General features: G+C 36.3%; 1 protein-coding gene across 2 annotated transcripts in view; it reads left to right on the top strand.

Annotated features, from left to right (window-relative positions):
* Nucleotides 1-18,935, top strand: part of P3H2 (prolyl 3-hydroxylase 2) — a 165,551-nt gene that overhangs the window by 122,440 nt on the left and 24,176 nt on the right. For both annotated transcript variants that reach the window (NM_001134418.2, NM_018192.4), the window contains exons 2-8: nt 4,397-4,549; nt 5,556-5,745; nt 10,801-10,932; nt 12,170-12,312; nt 12,962-13,051; nt 15,249-15,289; nt 16,699-16,793. In NM_001134418.2, coding sequence (NP_001127890.1) covers nt 4,460-4,549; nt 5,556-5,745; nt 10,801-10,932; nt 12,170-12,312; nt 12,962-13,051; nt 15,249-15,289; nt 16,699-16,793 — 781 coding nt within the window. In that variant the 5' untranslated portion in view covers nt 4,397-4,459. The remainder of the gene's footprint in view (nt 1-4,396; nt 4,550-5,555; nt 5,746-10,800; nt 10,933-12,169; nt 12,313-12,961; nt 13,052-15,248; nt 15,290-16,698; nt 16,794-18,935) is intronic.

The raw sequence follows: 18,935 nt of genomic DNA, 5'->3' as shown, positions 1-18,935 counted from the left end.
CTAAGCTTCTTGAAGGCATTTTTACCAGTATTTCTGACATCTCAGTGGCCTCCCCTAAACGTCAATACCATCTTCATGTCAGATTATTCCCCTTTTCTCCATTGTTCTTTATTTCACAGTTTATTTTTCTAATGCATAGAGTTACCCCCATATTAGACTTACTCGCTCCTGTGGTTTGTTTTAATTAGGTCTTAAAGGAAGTCCAGTTTGGAGCCTTTAACTGTAGTGTGCTGTTGGTTTGTTTCATTGGAGGAGTGGGTAGGTCCTTCCTTAGCTGAAACCTAGTACTGACTATGCCTTGTAATAACCTCCATCCAATCATATGACATTATATGTAGCATGCACATGTTTATGTGGACTTTTCTTACCACTTTGGATGTGTGTATTTATACAATGGAAGACAGAGGTATCAAGCTTCCAGTTAAAACAGTGGTTTATTTTATAGACCCTGGCAGCAAATTCTAGTTTCCTAAACTGGTTCACAATAATTTAAAAGCCAGGGCCAGTTCATGAAGTTTTATGGTTCAGCCTTTAGTCATGGAATCTTTTTTTATAGATTGTAGTATCTTCAATTCTGGACTATAAAGGAGGAAAGCACCAAATAAGCAAAACGTCAAATTTGAGAAAAGGACCCAGTTTGTTGACATTGACTGTTTTCAAGAGCTACGGAATCACATTCATCGTGATAACCACATTGGAAGCTCTCAGTATGAATGATGATTTCAGAGAAGTTTTTATTAAATGTACAAACTTTTAGTACCTTATAGGAGGGGTCCCCAACCCCTGGGCCATGGATCAGTACAGTCCTGTTAGGAGCGGGGCTGCACAGCAGAAGGTGAACCTTACCACCTGAGCTCTGTCTCCTGTCAGATCAGTGGAGGTCTTAGGTTCTCATAGGAGTGCCAACCCTCTGGTGAAGTGTGCAAGTGAGGGATCTAGGTTGTGTGCTCCTTATGAGAATCTTGCGTGATGATCTTAGGTGGAACAGTTTAATTCTGAAACTATCCCTGCAACCCATCCATGGAAAAATTGTCTTCCATGAAACTGGACCCTGGTGCCAAAAAGACTGGGGACCACTGCCTTATAATTCATGAAGCATATTCACATGTAATATACCTTTGAACTTATTACAAGTTACTTCTTACAAGTTTTTTTCTCTTTTCTAAGACATAGCATAGATATACTCTGTATGTAAATAGGTAGAAAATAAAAAGATTAATATACCATATGATCCATGTCCACAGAAAGCTCTAATGGGAGAAGCAGATATACTGATGCATATATAAGGTACAGAATGGTAAGTACCAGTAAAGGAACAGGTTGAGAGTATATTGTGGTACCCAACTATGGCTACAGGAATGGGAAAGGGTCTCTTAGAGAAGGCAGGATTTAAGCTTGGCCTTATAGGACATGACATATTTCAGTAAGAAAAGACAGAGGGACAAAGATTCTCTAAGTCAGTGGAATATCCTGAGCCAAAGCATAAAGTAGGAAAATTAAGAACATAAATATTTATTTGTGTTCCATTAACTTTAACGTCTAGTGCTGTAGAATCAGAGTATGTCAGTACTAATCTGTTGTACTCATAGCTTGTAGACTGGCTATTGCCCAGAGAAAATTTTCACCAACCAGAAGCACCTACTCTATCCTCTTATATTATGTGTTCATGGGAGCTATAAACTCTACTCTTCATTAATGGGAGCAGATTCACCTCCTTGAAACAGATCATTTATATATTGTATGCTATTATTTATCTTTTTCTAGTGCTCTAGTGACTGCTGAACACATTCATATGTATTTCACAGTTGAATCCTTCCAAAATCCTCCACAGTAAATGATGGTGTATAGTTCTTTTGAGCATTTTTTCTTTAGGGAAAATTAAAGCACCAGTGTTTAAACAACTTTTTCCAGGTTCACTTGGCCAATAAATGCAAACCACACATAATTTTGAACCCATTCTTTATACCTATATAGTTATTACTATGTAGATGCATACAATTCATATTTATCTGTATTGATATGTAAGAGATTGAGAAGATTAAAGTTGAGAAAGATGAAATCCAAAATTAGTGATTTTGACAGTCAAAATAATTCTGAGTGCACAGAATTGAGGACAAAGGTAAAAGTGGCAGGAAGAGCTCATTTCAGGCAAGATTTAATGGAAGGAAAGACAGTAGCTAAAAATGTGCAATTACATTTGAAAAGGGAAAGCTTTACTATTATGGGATGTTAGGTCTTAAAACAGGGCAGTTTATGTTTTTGTGTTAAGAGTTGATTATATTTCACAAGACTGCAGGGACTGGGCACTTGTGAGTCTACTACTTCTAGTTTTTAATAATTGAGTGGCAAAATGGTCAAAAGCAGATACAGTTGAATCTTACATGCCATTCTGTGATTTTATATTGTTCAGCAACAATTAGTTTTCATTTCTTCACACTAAAATGGATTGAGCATATTTTAGATTCCACCATGAAAACGATAACTAATGTGAATTTTTATTTTTCTGATGTGAGGTAAATGGATCTCTCTATTGAAATTCTCCATGACTAAAGCATATGTAAATATGTGAAGTGGGCGGATCACAAGGTCAGGAGATCGAGACCATCCTGGCCAACATGGTGAAACCCCATCTCTACTAAAAATACAAAAATTAGCCGGGCATGGTGGTGTGTGCCCATAGTCCCAGCTACTTCGGAGGCTGAGGCAGGAGAATCGCTTGAACCCTGGAGGCAGAGATTGCAGTGAGCCAAGATCGCGCCATTGCACTCCAGCCTGGCAACAGAGCAAGACTCCGTCTCAAAAATAATTTTAAAAATGTGTTAAAATGGGTAAATTAATTCCATTTTTTAAAAATATATCATTGCTTGTTACATGGAGATCATTGTATTAAGTGGTTTAGGAGACAGTTGGCAGTGTCTGTGTAGTGGTGGTTCAAAATTCTTTTTTATTAATGAGAATCAAAGTTGTAAGTTTGGAATCAAATATCTCAAAGCTGTGTGGTAAAGCATTTTATGTGCTGTTCTTAGCATCTTTATGCATTGGAATAATTTATCCTTTTAATTTTTTTAAAAGTTTTGTCTTATTTTTAATTGACACATAATAAGTATACATAATTACGGGTACAGTGTGATGTTTCCATATGTGTATTCATTGTATGATGATTAAATCAGGGTAATCAGCAAATCTGTTGCCTAAAACACTTATCATTTATGTTGGTGACATCATTAAAAATGCTTTCTTCTAGCTATTCTGAAATATACAATACATAATTGTTAGCTATTGTTATCCTACTGTGCAATAGAACACCAGAAATTATTCTTCTTCTTTAACTATAACTTTGTACTCTTTGACCAACCTCTTCCTGTCTCTCCCTTTCCTACATTTTCCAGCCTCTGGCAATCACCGTTCCACTCTACTTCTATGAGATCAACTGTTTCAGATTCCATATAAGAATGAGATCATGTGGTATTTGTCCTTCTGTGTCTGGCTTATTTCACTTAACATAATATCCTCCAGATTCATCCATGTTGTTGCAAATGATGGGATTTCATTATTTTTTATGGCTGAATAATATTTCATTGTGTATATGTACCACATTTTCTTTATCCATTCATCTGCTGATGGGCACTTAGGTTGATTTCATGTCCTGGCTATTGTGAATAGTGCTACAATAAACATGGGAGTACAGATATAGCTTCAACATACTGACTTCATTTCCTTTGGATATATACCCAGCAGTGAGATTGCTGGATCTTATGGTAGTTCTACTTTTAATTTTTTAAGGAAACTCCATACTGTTTTTCATAATGGTCTTGCTAATTTATATTCCTACCAACAGTGTATAAGGGTGCCCTTTTCTCCACTTCCTTGTCAACACTTGTTATCTTTTATCTTTTTGTTAATAACCATTCTAACTGGAATGAAGTTGTATTTCATTGTGATTTTGACTTGCATTTCCCTGGTGATTAGTGATGTGGAGCATTTTTTCACACACCTGTTGGCCAATTGTATATCTTCTTTTGAGAAATGTCATTTCAGATCTTTTGCCCATTTTTTAATCTTTCTTTTCTTGCTATAGAGTTTTTTCAGCTTTTTATATATCTTATAGATCCTAGATATTAACCCCTTTTGGATATGGATATATAGTTTACAAGTATTTTCTTGCATTCTGTAGGTTGTATCTTCACCTGTTGATTGCTTTCTTTGCTGTGCAGAAGTTTTTTACTTTGTTATAATCCCATTTATTTTGTTTTTATTGCCTGTCTGATAAAAAAAAAAAAAACCAAGGCTCCTAGTTTCATTCTTAAACTGTGAGATTTTGGATTGATCTTTGTATTTCTCTGAGTGTGATTTGGAAATATTTGCCTTCATTTTGGTCATTTTTTTTTCTCTTTAGCTTAACCAGCTCGAAAAAGCAGTGGAAGCAGCTCACACATTTTTCGTGGCTAACCCTGAGCACATGGAAATGCAGCAGAACATTGAGAATTACAGGGCGACAGCTGGTGTTGAAGCATTGCAGTTGGTAGACAGAGAAGCCAAGCCACACATGGTAAGCTCTGTGGGCCCCTGCCCTCACCACAGGGAGCTAAGTGCTCCTAAGTTTCATCTGAGTCACAGCAAATTTCTATGAATGAATATCTCATAAAGTTTATTCTCAAATTTTAGTAACATTTTTGGACTTTCAGAATTCTCAGAATATAATGATCAGGTCTGAAAAAATTGAGGTTTTTTAAAATTTTAATTAAAATTTTAAAAGTTGAAATAAAAAAACTAAAAAATTAAAAATTTTTAAATTAAGAGAAAATAAAAATTAACTTAGAAAATTGGCATAATGTGATAAAAACTAGAACATCATATAATTCTCTATAATCCTCTCTGAACCTTTCTGATACTCTTATTTTATACCTAGGAGGTGAGGCCAGTGTAAATTGTTCAGGATTATACTGTGATTTTCCAGCTCCCAGTCCAGTGGTTTGCCCATTGTACCTGTATGTTTCAAACTGGGGTTTTAAAAAGTGATGTAGTTCTTTATATAGACTAAACATTACTTGAAATCACATGTTGAAAGCCTTTTTTTTTTTTAATTTTTGACATCACCATTCTCAACATGTAGCCTCCAAAATTATCACAGAAAAGGATAAGGAAAGATTTTAGAAAATATTAAAAAAAAAAAACAAAAAACACAGGCAGGGCCTAAAAGTGGATGTCACTTCCACCCACATCTGTTGTCCTGCACTTGTTACATGGCCCTACCTATAGGCAAATGATTTCAAAAACACAGTCTTGCATGTGCTAAGGAAAAAAACGACATTGACTGATCACATAGCAATCTATTTGCTCAGTAAGACCCCTCTCACTTACAAGCATTTGAAGCCAGGAATGTTGTTCTTTATCTCCCAGTGCAACCCTTCTTTATCCCTCCGCAGCAGAAGCATCCAGTACCCCATCTACCTAGATGATCCTGAGTCAACAAAAACCCTTCTCTTTGAAAATAAGGGTTTTTTTGTTTGTTTGTTTGTTTGTTTGTTTGTTTTTTCCCGTCTGTTTCATTACAGGAGAGTTACAATGCAGGAGTTAAACATTATGAGGCTGATGACTTTGAGATGGCTATCAGGCACTTCGAACAAGCCTTAAGAGAATATTTCGTTGAAGATACAGAATGCCGGACCCTATGTGAGGGGCCTCAGAGATTTGAAGAATATGAGTATTTAGGGTATAAGGCTGGTCTGTATGAAGCTATTGCAGGTAAAAGCTTAATTTTTCATTTTATTTCTTTCTTGATTATAAAAATACTACTTGCAATTTGTAAAAAACTATTCCAGCAAAATAGAAGAATATACTGTAAAAATAAAAGACTCTCATGTGTCTATCCCAGCCTATCTCCTGTAGAGAAATGTATGTAGTTAAAATTTTGGTGACTGTCTTCCCAAACTTTTTCAGGTCCTTATGTAAATATTTATGTATTTATTTATAGTTATTATTTCATTTTTTATAAAATAGGACAATACTATATATAATGTTTTTCAACTTTTGTTGTTTTATTTTATGCTTAACAATATATTGTGGACTTCTTCTCACGTAAGTACGTAGAGCCATTTTATTGTATTTAATGGTTGGGTAATGCTCTGTTATATAAACGCATCATAATTTAATTGACTAGTCCTTTAGTGATGAGTGTTTAAGAGGCTGAAATTTTTCATTATTATAAACAATGTAGTAGTGAACACTTTTGTGTAGTCTTCAACTACTTAAAATGTTTTATTACTTAATAAGAATTTAATATATTACAAAGCGGCATTTAAAATACTAGGTAATGCACATTATAGAATAATTTGGGAGATTGGCTAGTTAACCACTTATGAGGAGAAAGTGGGGTCTCTGCTGTATGCCTTACACAAAAATAAATTGTATTTGTAATAACAATATAAGTGTAAAATATAAAACTGTTAGAACAAAATGAGGGAAGATATTTGTATAATATTAGGAGAAGAAAAGCTCTTTTTTTTTTTTTTTTTTGAGACAGAGTTTCGCTCTTGTTGCCCAGGCTGGAGTGCAATGGCGTGATCTTGGCTCACTGCAACCTCTGCCTCCCGGATTCAAGCAATTCTTCTTTCTCAGCCTCCCGAGTAGCTGGGATTACAGGCATGCACCACCAGACCCAACTAATTTTGTATTTTTCATGGAGACGGGGTTTCTCCATGTTGGCCAGGCTGGTCTCGATCTCCTGACCTCAGGTAATCCGCCCACCTCGGCTTCCCAAAGTACTGGGATTACGGGCGTGAGCCAGCACGCCCAGCAGAAAAGCTCTTCTAAGTATGACAAAAGACAAGAAAAATAAAGAACAAGTTAAACTTTACCTAAGATTTATAAGTACAGATTTATACGATAAACCAAGCTGATCTACAAACACAAATAGAAAGTATTGCAAAATATTTTATAGGCAAAGTGTTAATATATTTCATATTCAAAGAGAGCCTGTAAATTATTATTGTTCATAGTAATTTACTTCTTAATTATCAGTAGTAATAATAACCAACACATATGTAGCAATTGTAACATACAAAGCACTTAACATATTTTTATCTATTTAATGCTTTAAGCAACTCTTATAGATACTATTGTTACTTACTCTCCTCTCCCTTTTGTAAATGAGGAATTTATCTGAAAAAGATTAAGTGATGTGATTAGAGTGAAGCTGGAACTCATATTTGGACTTTTCTGAATCTAGAATCTATACTTTTAAGGTCTACATAATTGAAAAGTAGGCAAAGGATAATTTATTAATAAAATTTTCACAAATATTTTGAGCACACATTTTTTTCTGAGTTACCCATATATGAAAAGCAACATTCAACTTCATTTACTTACTGAAATGCCAGTGAATAAAATCAGTTTGCTCTCCCCAACTTCCAGTGCTTTCAGTCTTCCTAAAAAGCACTACTCATCCGGGCGCGGTGGCTCATGCCTGTAATCCTAGCACTTTGGGATTCTGAGACAGGTGGATCACATGAGCTCAGGAGTTTGAGACTAGCCTGGCCAACATGGTGAAACCCCATCTCTACTAAAAATATAAAAAATTAGGCAGGTGTGGTGGTGGGTGCCTGTAATCCCAGCTACTTAGGAGGCTGAGGCAAGAGAATCACTTGAACCTTGGAGGCCGAGGTTGCAGTGAGCCGAGATGGTGCCATTGCACTCCAGCCTAGGCAATAAGAGCGAAACTCCATCTCAAAGGAAAAACAAACAAACAAACAAAAAGCACTACTCACCTAATAACTCAAACCAAGTTACCTTTCAATCCAACATCTTCCTTAATTCCTATTCCCATATGATTTTTTACCAAACTTGGATAGAGGTTATCTCCTAATAGCACTGAACACTTCCTAACTCCCTCCACCCCTTTTGCTACCACCCTGGCTCAAAGCAACAGTGATTGCCTCCTTGTTGCTCTTCATGTCCTGTTCTGGTTTTGCTCCAAATGCCCACAGAGCAGTCTCTAAAAAAACAAAATTCTGCTCACAGATCTGGTTTAAACACCCCAAATGGTTTACACTCCACTTGGAATAAAATCCAATTCTTTAATAAGAACTTTCATGATTGGGCACTTGTGTATGTTTTCATTCATTCTCTCTCTCCCTCTCACTCTCTCTCCTGCTTTTTGATTCCTTAAATATGCCATGCTTATTTCCACTTACAGATCTTCAAAGTGTTGTTTTCTTCTATCTCTCGGCTAAAGCCTTGTCCTGTTTAGTGCTCAATCTTCAGTGCCTAAGAAGAGTGAGTGGCAAATAGTAGATACTTACTTAGTAAATACTGGTTAAATGAATGGGTTGATTAATGAATGAATGAAGGAAGGAGATGATATATCCATCTATCTCATAGCAGGGATTAAAATGGTTAAATACTCCATGTTTATGAGAATGTAGGTTTAGGATTATTGTTAAGAATTATTTTTAAGGTTTCTTATAGAGACAATTAGGGTATAGCTATCAAAAATTAGACTAGGAAGTAGACTGAAAATTAATGTGACGAATGACCAATTTGTGACACACCCAGTTACCCAAAATCAACTCAGTTCACCTAAATTCAATACAGCAATCTCAATTATTGAGGATATTTTCCTGAAAGTTTTATTTTTTTGGATCTCTGCCAGATCCAGTTGCCTAAATTTTTGGAATGTCAGTTTTATGTGTGGTTCACATTTTAATTGCTATTTCTCTACACTTGATCTTGTATTTGGGAATGGCAGATTCTTCCTTTATTATAGTTAACTGTGTTGTGGTTGTGGGGAGATATGCATCCTGCTTTCACGCCCACATTCGCCTCTACACCTGCTTCCACCAATGGCCACTGAACAGTTTTGGCCAATGTCCTAGATCTGGTTTAGGAAAATGGACCGACGATTTCCCACAGATGAATATTTAGTGATTTGCTCAAGGTCACCACAGCATGTCGGTAGCTGGAAAAGAATAGAGATCTCATAACTCAGGTTCTTTAATTTTTAAGACTCAAACTTATTAAAAACATATTAATTGCACAATGTCATTTAAGATAGAAAGGAGGCAAGGGATATACCTAATAAAAGTAATATGACAGCTCTCACTATGTAAATTCTTGTCTGCTTCAAAATTGTCCTAAATTAGGTATAAAACTGGCTTTTTAAATAGCAAATGTATTAGAAAATCAGAATATTTGAATTTTAGAGTTAGACATTAACAGTTCGGGAAAAATACAAATGGCTGCTGAATGCAGTTATTTATTACTAGCTCTGCTATGAAACCCTAAAGGATACCTTTCTGTCACTCCTATTTTGCTGCTATTTGTATCCGCTTTGAAAAAATATTTCCATTCAGATTTTGAGTTCTCGGTGGGTATCTTTCGCCTTTACCTTTTGCTTGTCACTTGGAATTAAAAGGAATGTGTATTAGAAAGTAAATAGAAATGCAAATGGTAAGTTGAGTAGGAGAAAACAGTTGAAGGTTGTTTATTTTTGTTTTCTTAAGAAATGAAACAGCTGGTTATTTATTTCTAACATGCTAATCAAATAAATAGAACTCATTCTTCCTTCACATCCCCTGACTGGGGTTAATAACCAATGGGCTTTAGGGATTCTATTAGCTGTGCTATAAATGATTCAGTTAGCCAAGTTATACAAAACTGGCACATTCCCCCACACCAGAAAATGCACGTTTCCTTCCTGTTGTGTTTTGGGGTCCCTCTGCAAAATCACCAAGATCCAAGCCAAACTCAGACTAAACAGAGAACCTTTTGAAAAAAAGGCAGTTGTGGTAAATTAAATTGCACAGCTATGAGATCAAATGATTTTATCATCATTCTCAAAAGAACCCACTCAGCGCAGCCATGAATGAATCTTTCTTGCTGGAAAATACATCCATCTTCATTGTAAAAATCAGTCAAGGTGAAACGTAGGAGGCATTTTCTTCTCTGGGACATTCACCACTTGTGTTTCCTCATCTCAGGCTTTGATAAAATAGAGTCCAGAGCCAAAGGTGGCATGAAGACCCTAACACTTCAGGACTCTCAAGCAAGAAGAATGGGAGCAATAGAAAGGGGAGTGAAGAGAAATAGGAAATAAGATGCTCATTCCTTTAGTTTACATCCTTCTGCCTGTTTTACCAGTCTCTGGTAAAGAATATACAATGTACTTAGTATTAGAATATACTATGTCTAGGCGATAGACTAATTTATAACTGGATAGAATAGGTTTCTGACCAATAGGTTTAAAAAAAAAGAGTTTTTATTTCTCTTTTAGGACAATTTGGCTTGAAAATGTTAAGAAAGAAAAAGAGCACTTTTGCTTCACTTCTCAGCCTGAATTTTCCATGCCCATGGTGGTTTCTTTTTCCAAACTGTTCCTTAACATTTACTAGCATCTGAACTTCCATTCCCGATTCCAGGGCACTTCGAGCCATCCAAGATATCCAAAGAGAGACCCCAAAGTTGTTAAATATGAAAACTGACATTCAGCTGGGTGTAGGTGGGGTAAAGTGGACTGTGGGGTATAAAAAGTGTACATGGGAAGGGAAAAGTGAGGTGTAGAGAACAGACTGTGAGCTGGAGGATTCGGAATCTACTGTCGTTCTAGTGATCGCTGACCAGGAGACCTTGGCAAGTCACCTACTTTCTTTGTAAAAAGGTTTTGCAGTCCGGAAGTGAGGATTATAATAATTTGGTCTTCCAGTGTGGTGAGGTGAGGAATGACCTGTGTAACTGTGGCTGTGACGTTGACGTTTGGGCACTCAGCAACCTGGAGGAACACACGTATTGGCTCTTGTCTTCCAGATCACTACATGCAGGTGCTTGTTTGTCAGCATGAATGTGTGAGGGAACTTGCCACCCGCCCTGGCCGCCTCTCTCCCATCGAGAATTTTCTTCCTCTGCACTATGATTACCTACAGTTTGCCTACTATCGAGGTAAAGCGTGGATCATCCGTGAAGACTTCTTGGGGGGTTGTGGTTCATCATTACAGACATCACATTTTTGTAATTGAGTTTTCTGACTTCTTCAGTTTATTATGAAAGCAATAGGAATTTATGCATTTCTTCTCTCCTGAGCTGCAGGACAAGAAGAGCAGAAGGGGATATCACCAATGGGCAAAGTACAAAATTTAATGCTGTGATAATTTACTGAAAATTATACTAGATTGACATTTTGCATGGTTTTTTAGACTTAATTTTTTTAGAACTGAATTTAAAAGGAACTTTGCAAAATCCTCTTCCTTTCCAAAAACAAAACATTATTTATTATCCTGGCGTTGATGGCACACAGTGAATCACGTGCTCAAGTCATAAACAGTGAATCAAAGATGAGAGAGTTGCTTAATTTTTATCATTCCTTTTAAAAATCAGAGTCATCTCAGAGTATATATATATGTGTGTGTGTGTGTGTATGTATTTATTATACACACATACATGCACACACACACATATATATACACACATACGTATATTGTAAATTTCCATTAGAAGAAATACAATGTTGTGAACTATTTGAAAACAAGGCATACAGACATTTAAAATTTCCCTTGTAATAGCTAAATATTTCTATAATGAAAAGTTTATATTGGAAACATCCTTGTTAGTTCCTTTTAGTAGTTTGCTACTGTAGGATGTGCTATAATTGTATAGTGAAGGATTTAAGGGGCTTCCTCCAGAACATCTGGGACTCTATGAAGGACTTTGCATTGAAGTACCAGTTTACCACAAACTGCAGCAATGAAAAATAACATTTTAAAAGCACTTATGTTACTCATACATTATATATAAAATGGTACATTACTGTTGCAAAGATCACCTTCAGGATGTTTACTTAACCCAAACTCGGTACAAAAATCAGAATTAACTCATAGAATTCTGCTGTTTATATGTGTTAAATAATAAAAGTTGTCAACAAACATCTTCAGATAGAAACTTGACGATTTGCACAAAACAACTAGTACCAAAGCAGACCAAAGGTAATAACTTTTGAATACTTGAAATCATGTCTTTCCTTTTATCTGTGACTGTTTCTGCTTTCTCTGCTGAGCCTCAATTTATCTTCCCTCTTATTCATGTTTAATGCTGACCTTTGTAGACACGTTGATGGCCTCCCTTTAAAATCCTTTGGACAGACCTAGGCTGACTCTAATGCTGCAACTCCTTTGTCTTTCAGTTGGTGAGTATGTGAAAGCCCTGGAGTGTGCCAAAGCCTATCTTCTATGCCATCCAGATGATGAGGATGTCCTAGACAATGTGGATTACTATGAGAGTCTGCTGGATGATAGCATTGACCCGGCATCCATTGAGGCCAGAGAGGTGAGACCAATGTTTTGAAAAGAAATTCTTTTTTTTTTTTTTTTTTTAAGACAGAGTTTCGCTCTTGTTGCCCAGGCTGGAGTGCAATGGCACAATCTTGGCTCACCGCAACCTCCGCCTCCCGGGTTCAAGCGATTCTCCTGCCTCAGCCTCCCTAGTAGCTGGGATTACAGGCACATGCCACCACACCCGGCTAATTTTGTATTTTTTTTTTAGTAGAGACGGGGTTTCTCCATGTTGGTCAGGCTGGTCTCGAACTCCCGACCTCAGGTGATCTGCCCGCCTCGTCCTCCCAAAGTGCTGGGATTACAGGCGTGAGCCACCGCGCCTGGCCTGAAAAGAAATTCTTGATTCTGCATGTGTTCGGGGGAGAGTTGATAAAAATATGACACTGGTCTTAAAGATGTCTAACAATTTAGCAAAGGTTGTTGAACTCGGTTCTTTCAAACTTTATTTATGCCTGAAGCACATTTTTATTCATACATGCTAGCGTGTGAAAGTATGTTGAGATGGGGCCAAGTCTTGCAGTTCTGAATATTTGTTAGCTCATTTGTGACTATCTAATGAAAATATTGCCACCTGAACATTTATCATATCTCTTACCTGCTATTTAAATAAAAAATGTCTTTCTTTACTTCTTTTTCTCTAGGATTTAACAATGTTTGTGAAACGTCATAAGCTGGAGTCTGAGCTGATAAAATCAGCTGCAGAAGGTCTGGGGTTTTCATACACTGAACCGGTAAGAGGAAAGAGGAAACGTTTATTAAAATAATGATTCAGTGGAATCCTTTTTATGTTTTTATTACCTGCCTCCATTTTTGCCATTTACCTCAAAAAGCTAAGATTTCGATGCCCTCCTTGAGGTAAAAATTGGGGGTGGGAGATATTTACTCAATATATGTGATGAACTTTATCTATTTATTTATTTATTTATTTTGAGATGGAGTCTCGCTCTTGTCGCCCAGGCTGGAGTGCAGTGGCGTGATCTCGGCTCACTGCAACCTCCGCCTCCTGGATTCAAGCAATTCTCCTGCCTCAGCCTCCCGAGTAGCTGGGATTACAGGCACACGCCACAATGCCCAGCTAATTTTTTTTTGTATTTTTAGTAGAGATGGGGTTTCACCATGTTGGTCAGGCTAGTCTCGGACTCCTGACCTCAGGTGATCCGCCCGCCTCAGCCTCCCCAAGTGCTGGGATTACAGGCTTGAGCCGCCGCACCCGGCCATCTGATGAACTTTAAAAGACTAATGGATTTCCACATCAGTCATTCCATATTAACAAGGTCTAAAGTCAAAAGCAAATCTATTGGGTAAAAGTATTTTGTGTATGACTCATTTGCCCCGGGAGTGTTTTATTTTCCTAAATTCCGGATGTGGTGTTTTAAATTTTTCTATTAATGCTTTTATGTTACCTAAACATTAAAGAGAATTCAAAATATCATCAGTCACAATGCTATCACACCCATCATGCTGACTTCACTCCGCTTTTCCATGTTGTCTTCTAATCATTGTTTATATGAAGACATAGCTTTTGCAGAAACATATACTATGGTATAAAGAGATTTGTATTCTTTTAAGAAGATACCATAAGAAATTTCTACATTTGTATAGCTTTAAAAGGTATTTTTAGCTACATTTTAGTCTCTAAAAAGTTGGTAGAATTTAGAATTTTAGATAGGTAGAATTGACATACAATAAATAAATGAACTCTTCTGCTGAACATTTGAATTATTTCTGATTTTTGAATTATACATAATGTATTAAGCATTTTTTCTCTATTGAATTATGTCCTGAAAATAAATTCTTAAGAGTGGAATTATTCTGTCATCAAAGGATATAAGGTTTTAAACTTCTTGAAACTAAATTGCTTTTCTAAGAGAATTCTCTTAGAAATTATTTATTATTAATTTATTTATAATTATATATAATTATATATGATTACTAAGAGAATAATTCTCTTGGAATTATTTATTTGCACACTATTTTAATACTAACACTATCTCATGTGGGAAGATTTAGTGACTACTCTAAAGTCTCATAGCTCACAACAGATTGAACAGGCATTTGAATCCTAGTAATGCATAAAAGTACCATTTTACCACAAATTTATCAGCGATAAGAAATAACATTTGAAAATCACTTTTATTATTTATATATTATGTATGAAATAATACATCATTTTAACTTGTAATTTTTTTGATGACCAGCAAGAATAAACCTTTTCACATATTAACTATTTTTCCTCTTCTTTTAATTACTTGGGCATGGGTTTTATTCATTTATCCATTGGTTACTATGTAAGTTCTTCAAATGATATACAAGTTAATACATTTATAAAATTATTTATAATATGTCCATTTACAACCTTTTTTCATTTCTTATGCCGTGTTTTTATAGGCACACTTTTTAAAATGGGTTAATTTTAATGTACTATTTCTAATATAACACCTTCTAATATATTAATATTTATATCGGGCCTTACTTATTATTCTTTTAAAATTATGTTATCCAAGAGACCTTAAAATATGTTATTTACTAATTTCATGATCTATACAGATGATTACTAAAGCTCAATTTTGTTTGCTTGTTTTATTCAGCAAACATAAAGAAGTTGAACTGAATGATCTTTCAAATGTTTTTCTGCCACCAAATTCCAAGTCACTTTCTTGGACAAAAGGATGGATATCTAGGCTAATTCCATAGTATTTGAAAACTCGACTTGTATTTCATTTTTTCCTTGCCAAATCTCCACTAACTTTAGCCTTCCTTTTCATTAATCTATAAAATATAAATATATTGTATCTTTACACAATATGCAAAATTCCTAAATTATAGATCTTTTGAATGTTTTGTGCATATTTTATTTTATCTTAATTCTGTAAGTGATGTTTTAGTGACAAAATTACTGCATTTTTTTTTTTACTCGATTCAAAACAGAATTATTGGATCAGATATGGAGGACGACAGGATGAGAATCGGTAAGTCCATTCAGAATGCAAACTGGTTTTTTATGAGGAGAAATACTTAGTGTCATAACCTATCATAGAGAAATGTAGCTCTATGAAATAGGCAAGGAGATATAATAAAATAATTCTAAGCTCTGAATTAGGAGCTCTACATCCAGGTCCCAGCTCTTCCTGCCACGTTTTTGTAACCTTAGGTAATATATCTTCTGCTTTCTGGATCTCATTTTTTTTTTCCAGGAAAAAAAGGGTTAAATCAGGTGCTTTCTATCTGCTAACGTTCCATGATTCCGAATCTGAGAAGGTTGGATACTGGTTTTGATTTATTAACAGAAAAACTGTGAAATGGGTTTTTGATGGTGAATTCCCTTATTGTATTTACCTAAAATAATGAAGTTCAGAAAGTTATACTAAAATAGCTAAAATATTAGGTGTCACTAACTGAATCAGAAATCAAGAAAGCTCATTTTTTTTTAAATTTTATTATTATTATACTTAAAGTTTTAGGGTACATGTGCACAACGTGCAGGTTTGTTACATATGTATACATGTGCCATGTTGGTGTGCTGCACCCATTAACTTGTCATTTAGCATTAGGTATATCTCCTAATGCTATCCCTCTCCCCTTCCCCCAAGAAAGCTCATTATTTAAAAATGACAAAAGTCAATTTACATCTTTTTAAAGGACTGAAACTCAGAAGGTTAGAAACACCTGCTTGAGATCACATGGTCCAGCTTATTCATTTTCAAATTGGGAACCTGAGGCCCTGACAAGGCAAGCAACTTGCTTAGAGTCTCATCACAAAGGAAGGACAGATCCAGATCTTCTTATTTAGAATCTTGAAGTCTTTCACGAGGCTTCAAAAACTCAACCCTTGGGTGGCATAAAATTATTTCGAGAGATCCAAGAATGTATATACACATTTGGATTTGTTTGATTTTTACGTATATAAAGAACAGCCTGCTATCATTTGTGTGTTTGCATATGACAAACCTGTGTCTTCTTTTCACAATAGTCAAGAACTACTACATTATGACATAATTTATTTCAATTCAACAGTTGTTCAATGATGCACTCCATGTTCCAGGCCCCATTGGACACTCTGAGCATTATAAAGATGCTCATGATAATTTTTTTCCTACTTGAGATTAGAGTCTAATCTGAAGAGAGTTATGTTATGCATACAATTAATTGTAATAAAGGTTGCTAAGAAGATTTAGAGGAGTGAAATAAGGCAAACTCACCGAGGAAATAGAGAACTTACTAGAGGCAGTGACATTTAATTTGACTTTAAAAGACAGGTGAACTTGTTTACAATAAAATACACAATATAGAGTCACAGACTACCTTGGTAAAGTATTCTTTGCCTTTGAACATCGTTATTCAATGACAAATTGCCATTTTAAATTTTTTGAATGGGCAGGGTCCCTTCAGGAGTGAACGTAGAGGGAGCAGAAGTTCATGGATTCTCAATGGGAAAAAAGCTATCACCCAAGATAGATCGAGACCTAAGAGAAGGTAAGTAGCTGTGCACTTTTACCCTATAAAGGAGGGGAAGGGGAAGATGGGGCTTGACCAGTTCTTTTCCAGATCAAGGAAGAACCCACTTTCTCTAGAAAATAAAGAATAAGACTAAGCTACTACACTCCCTAATAGTCTGAAAGCAAGACTTAAAAAAAAAAGTCTTAGATTTGTGTATTATTACCATGGGTTTCAAAAAAAAAGAAAAAAAGAAAAAGCCTCCAAATTCACTCCCTCATCTGTTTCCCAAGGAAACTTGCATGGTCATCACCATTCTCAGAATACCGGAGGCTTAGCAATTTCCTATGGTTTACTTCTGTTACACAGTCAGTAAGAGCTAGGTAGTGTGGGACAGACTGTATATCAGAGGAACTTGGAGAGGAGACCAGCCACATGGGATATTAGATTAGTTAACCTTAGATGCTTGAAGCACATAGATCTGAGCAGGGCCTTTAGAGAAAGCAGAATGTAGTAGGATGCATGGATGTAGAGGGAACCATTCTAGTGGTTAAAAGAAACGGAGCAAAGGCACAGAGACGAAGCGAGCGGAACATTATGTGCCTACTTATGTAAGATGAAAATTAGTAGAGACAACAGGTGGAGTGTTGCCAAAAACAGTTTTTAAGTAGAGCCAAGCATTGTTATATTAATAAAAACTATTAGCAATAGTAATACTAACAGCAGTGGTTAATTCTTAACAATTATTATTTCTATATGTTTTATGATTTCCCAGCAAATTTGCACACAATTTATTTGCATACTATTTTAATACTAACAGCATCTCATGTGGGAAGATTTAATGACTTCTCTGAAGTCTCAGAAGCTCAGAACAGGTTGAACAGGCATTTGAACCCAGACATTTGACCCGAAATCCCATTTTCTCTTCTTCACCTGCTGCATGAAACATAGAATTGTGTAGATATCAAAAATATATCACCTATTGATGAAAGAATTGCAAGACAAGAGGCTTTCAAAGTGCTGCATTGGGAAGCTGTACAGTACTTCTTTCCCCAGGAGATCTTGTCAGCACATTCCTCTGATTTGAAAACTTTTGGCTCTCTACAGCTCTCACATTTCCCATCCCTTTCCTTCCTTAGCTTCCAAGTCAGTTTTGAACCAGTAAACAGGATAATATGCTCATCTAATCTGACCTGGACCTCAGTTTGCAGCCACAAAGCCCAAGCTGTTTTACAAATGCCAGAGAGCTTCATGGTCAGCCAGAGTTCATGTTGCCTTTTAGGCTGAGAAATCACCCAGGAAGTTCATGCCAATAAGCCAACACATTGCTGTAAATGTTTGGGAAACTCCAGGACAGTTGCCAAATTTCAAAGCATTTTTTTCCCCTGGCTACCAGGGAATCTGGTGTCCAGCAACTGACTAGAAGGTTAATAGAAGAGCAGAACAGAAGACTACGTGTGATAGAGAAGGATCATGATTAATTGGGCTACACAAATCTACCATTTCCACAGAATTGTCTAGGACGAAGTGGCTAATGGGTTGTAGGATGGAATGTTTTCTGGGAACCTACTGGTCTGAAGGAAAAAAAAAATTTTTTTTTACCTACCGTACTCTCATATTCATTCAATACAGAATACTTCTGTGGCCAGATGTGTGTGAGGTTTTACCCACATGCACCAGTAATTCTCCAGTGGATAGCAACTGAGGGTGAACTAATCCAATTCAGTTCTGACACTGTCTGTCTGGAAATAGTGTCAGATCCCACAGGTTAAGGGCTTAGCCCACAACTGGCATTTCAGATGCCAATTGCAAGTATAAGTTGTTACCTATACTTCTGACCAACCCCTCATTGACCAGCTACAAACCAGTGTTCCCATGATCCTGACTTTGGGTTAGGTTAATTTGCTAGAGCATCCCACAGAACTCAGGAAACTCTTGTGTTTACTGGTTTATTATAAAGGATACAGATGAACAGCTAGATGAAGAGGTACATAGGGCAAGGTATGGGGGGATGGCAGGAGGAGCTTCCATGCCCTCCATGGGCAAACCACCCTCCCAGCATCTCCACGTGCTCAGCAACCTAGAAGCTCATCACATCTTGTTGTTCAAGAGTTTTTATAGAGCTTAATTTGCAGGCCCCAAACTCCTTTCCCAGAGGTCTGTGGGTGGGGCTAAAAGTTT

The sequence above is a fragment of the Homo sapiens genome, chromosome 3, assembly GCF_000001405.40.
Source record: "Homo sapiens chromosome 3, GRCh38.p14 Primary Assembly".
In the NCBI taxonomy this organism is placed as follows: domain Eukaryota; kingdom Metazoa; phylum Chordata; class Mammalia; order Primates; family Hominidae; genus Homo; species Homo sapiens.
The sequence above is the reverse complement of the archived record's forward strand: the minus strand, read 5'-3'. Positions and strand labels throughout refer to the sequence as shown.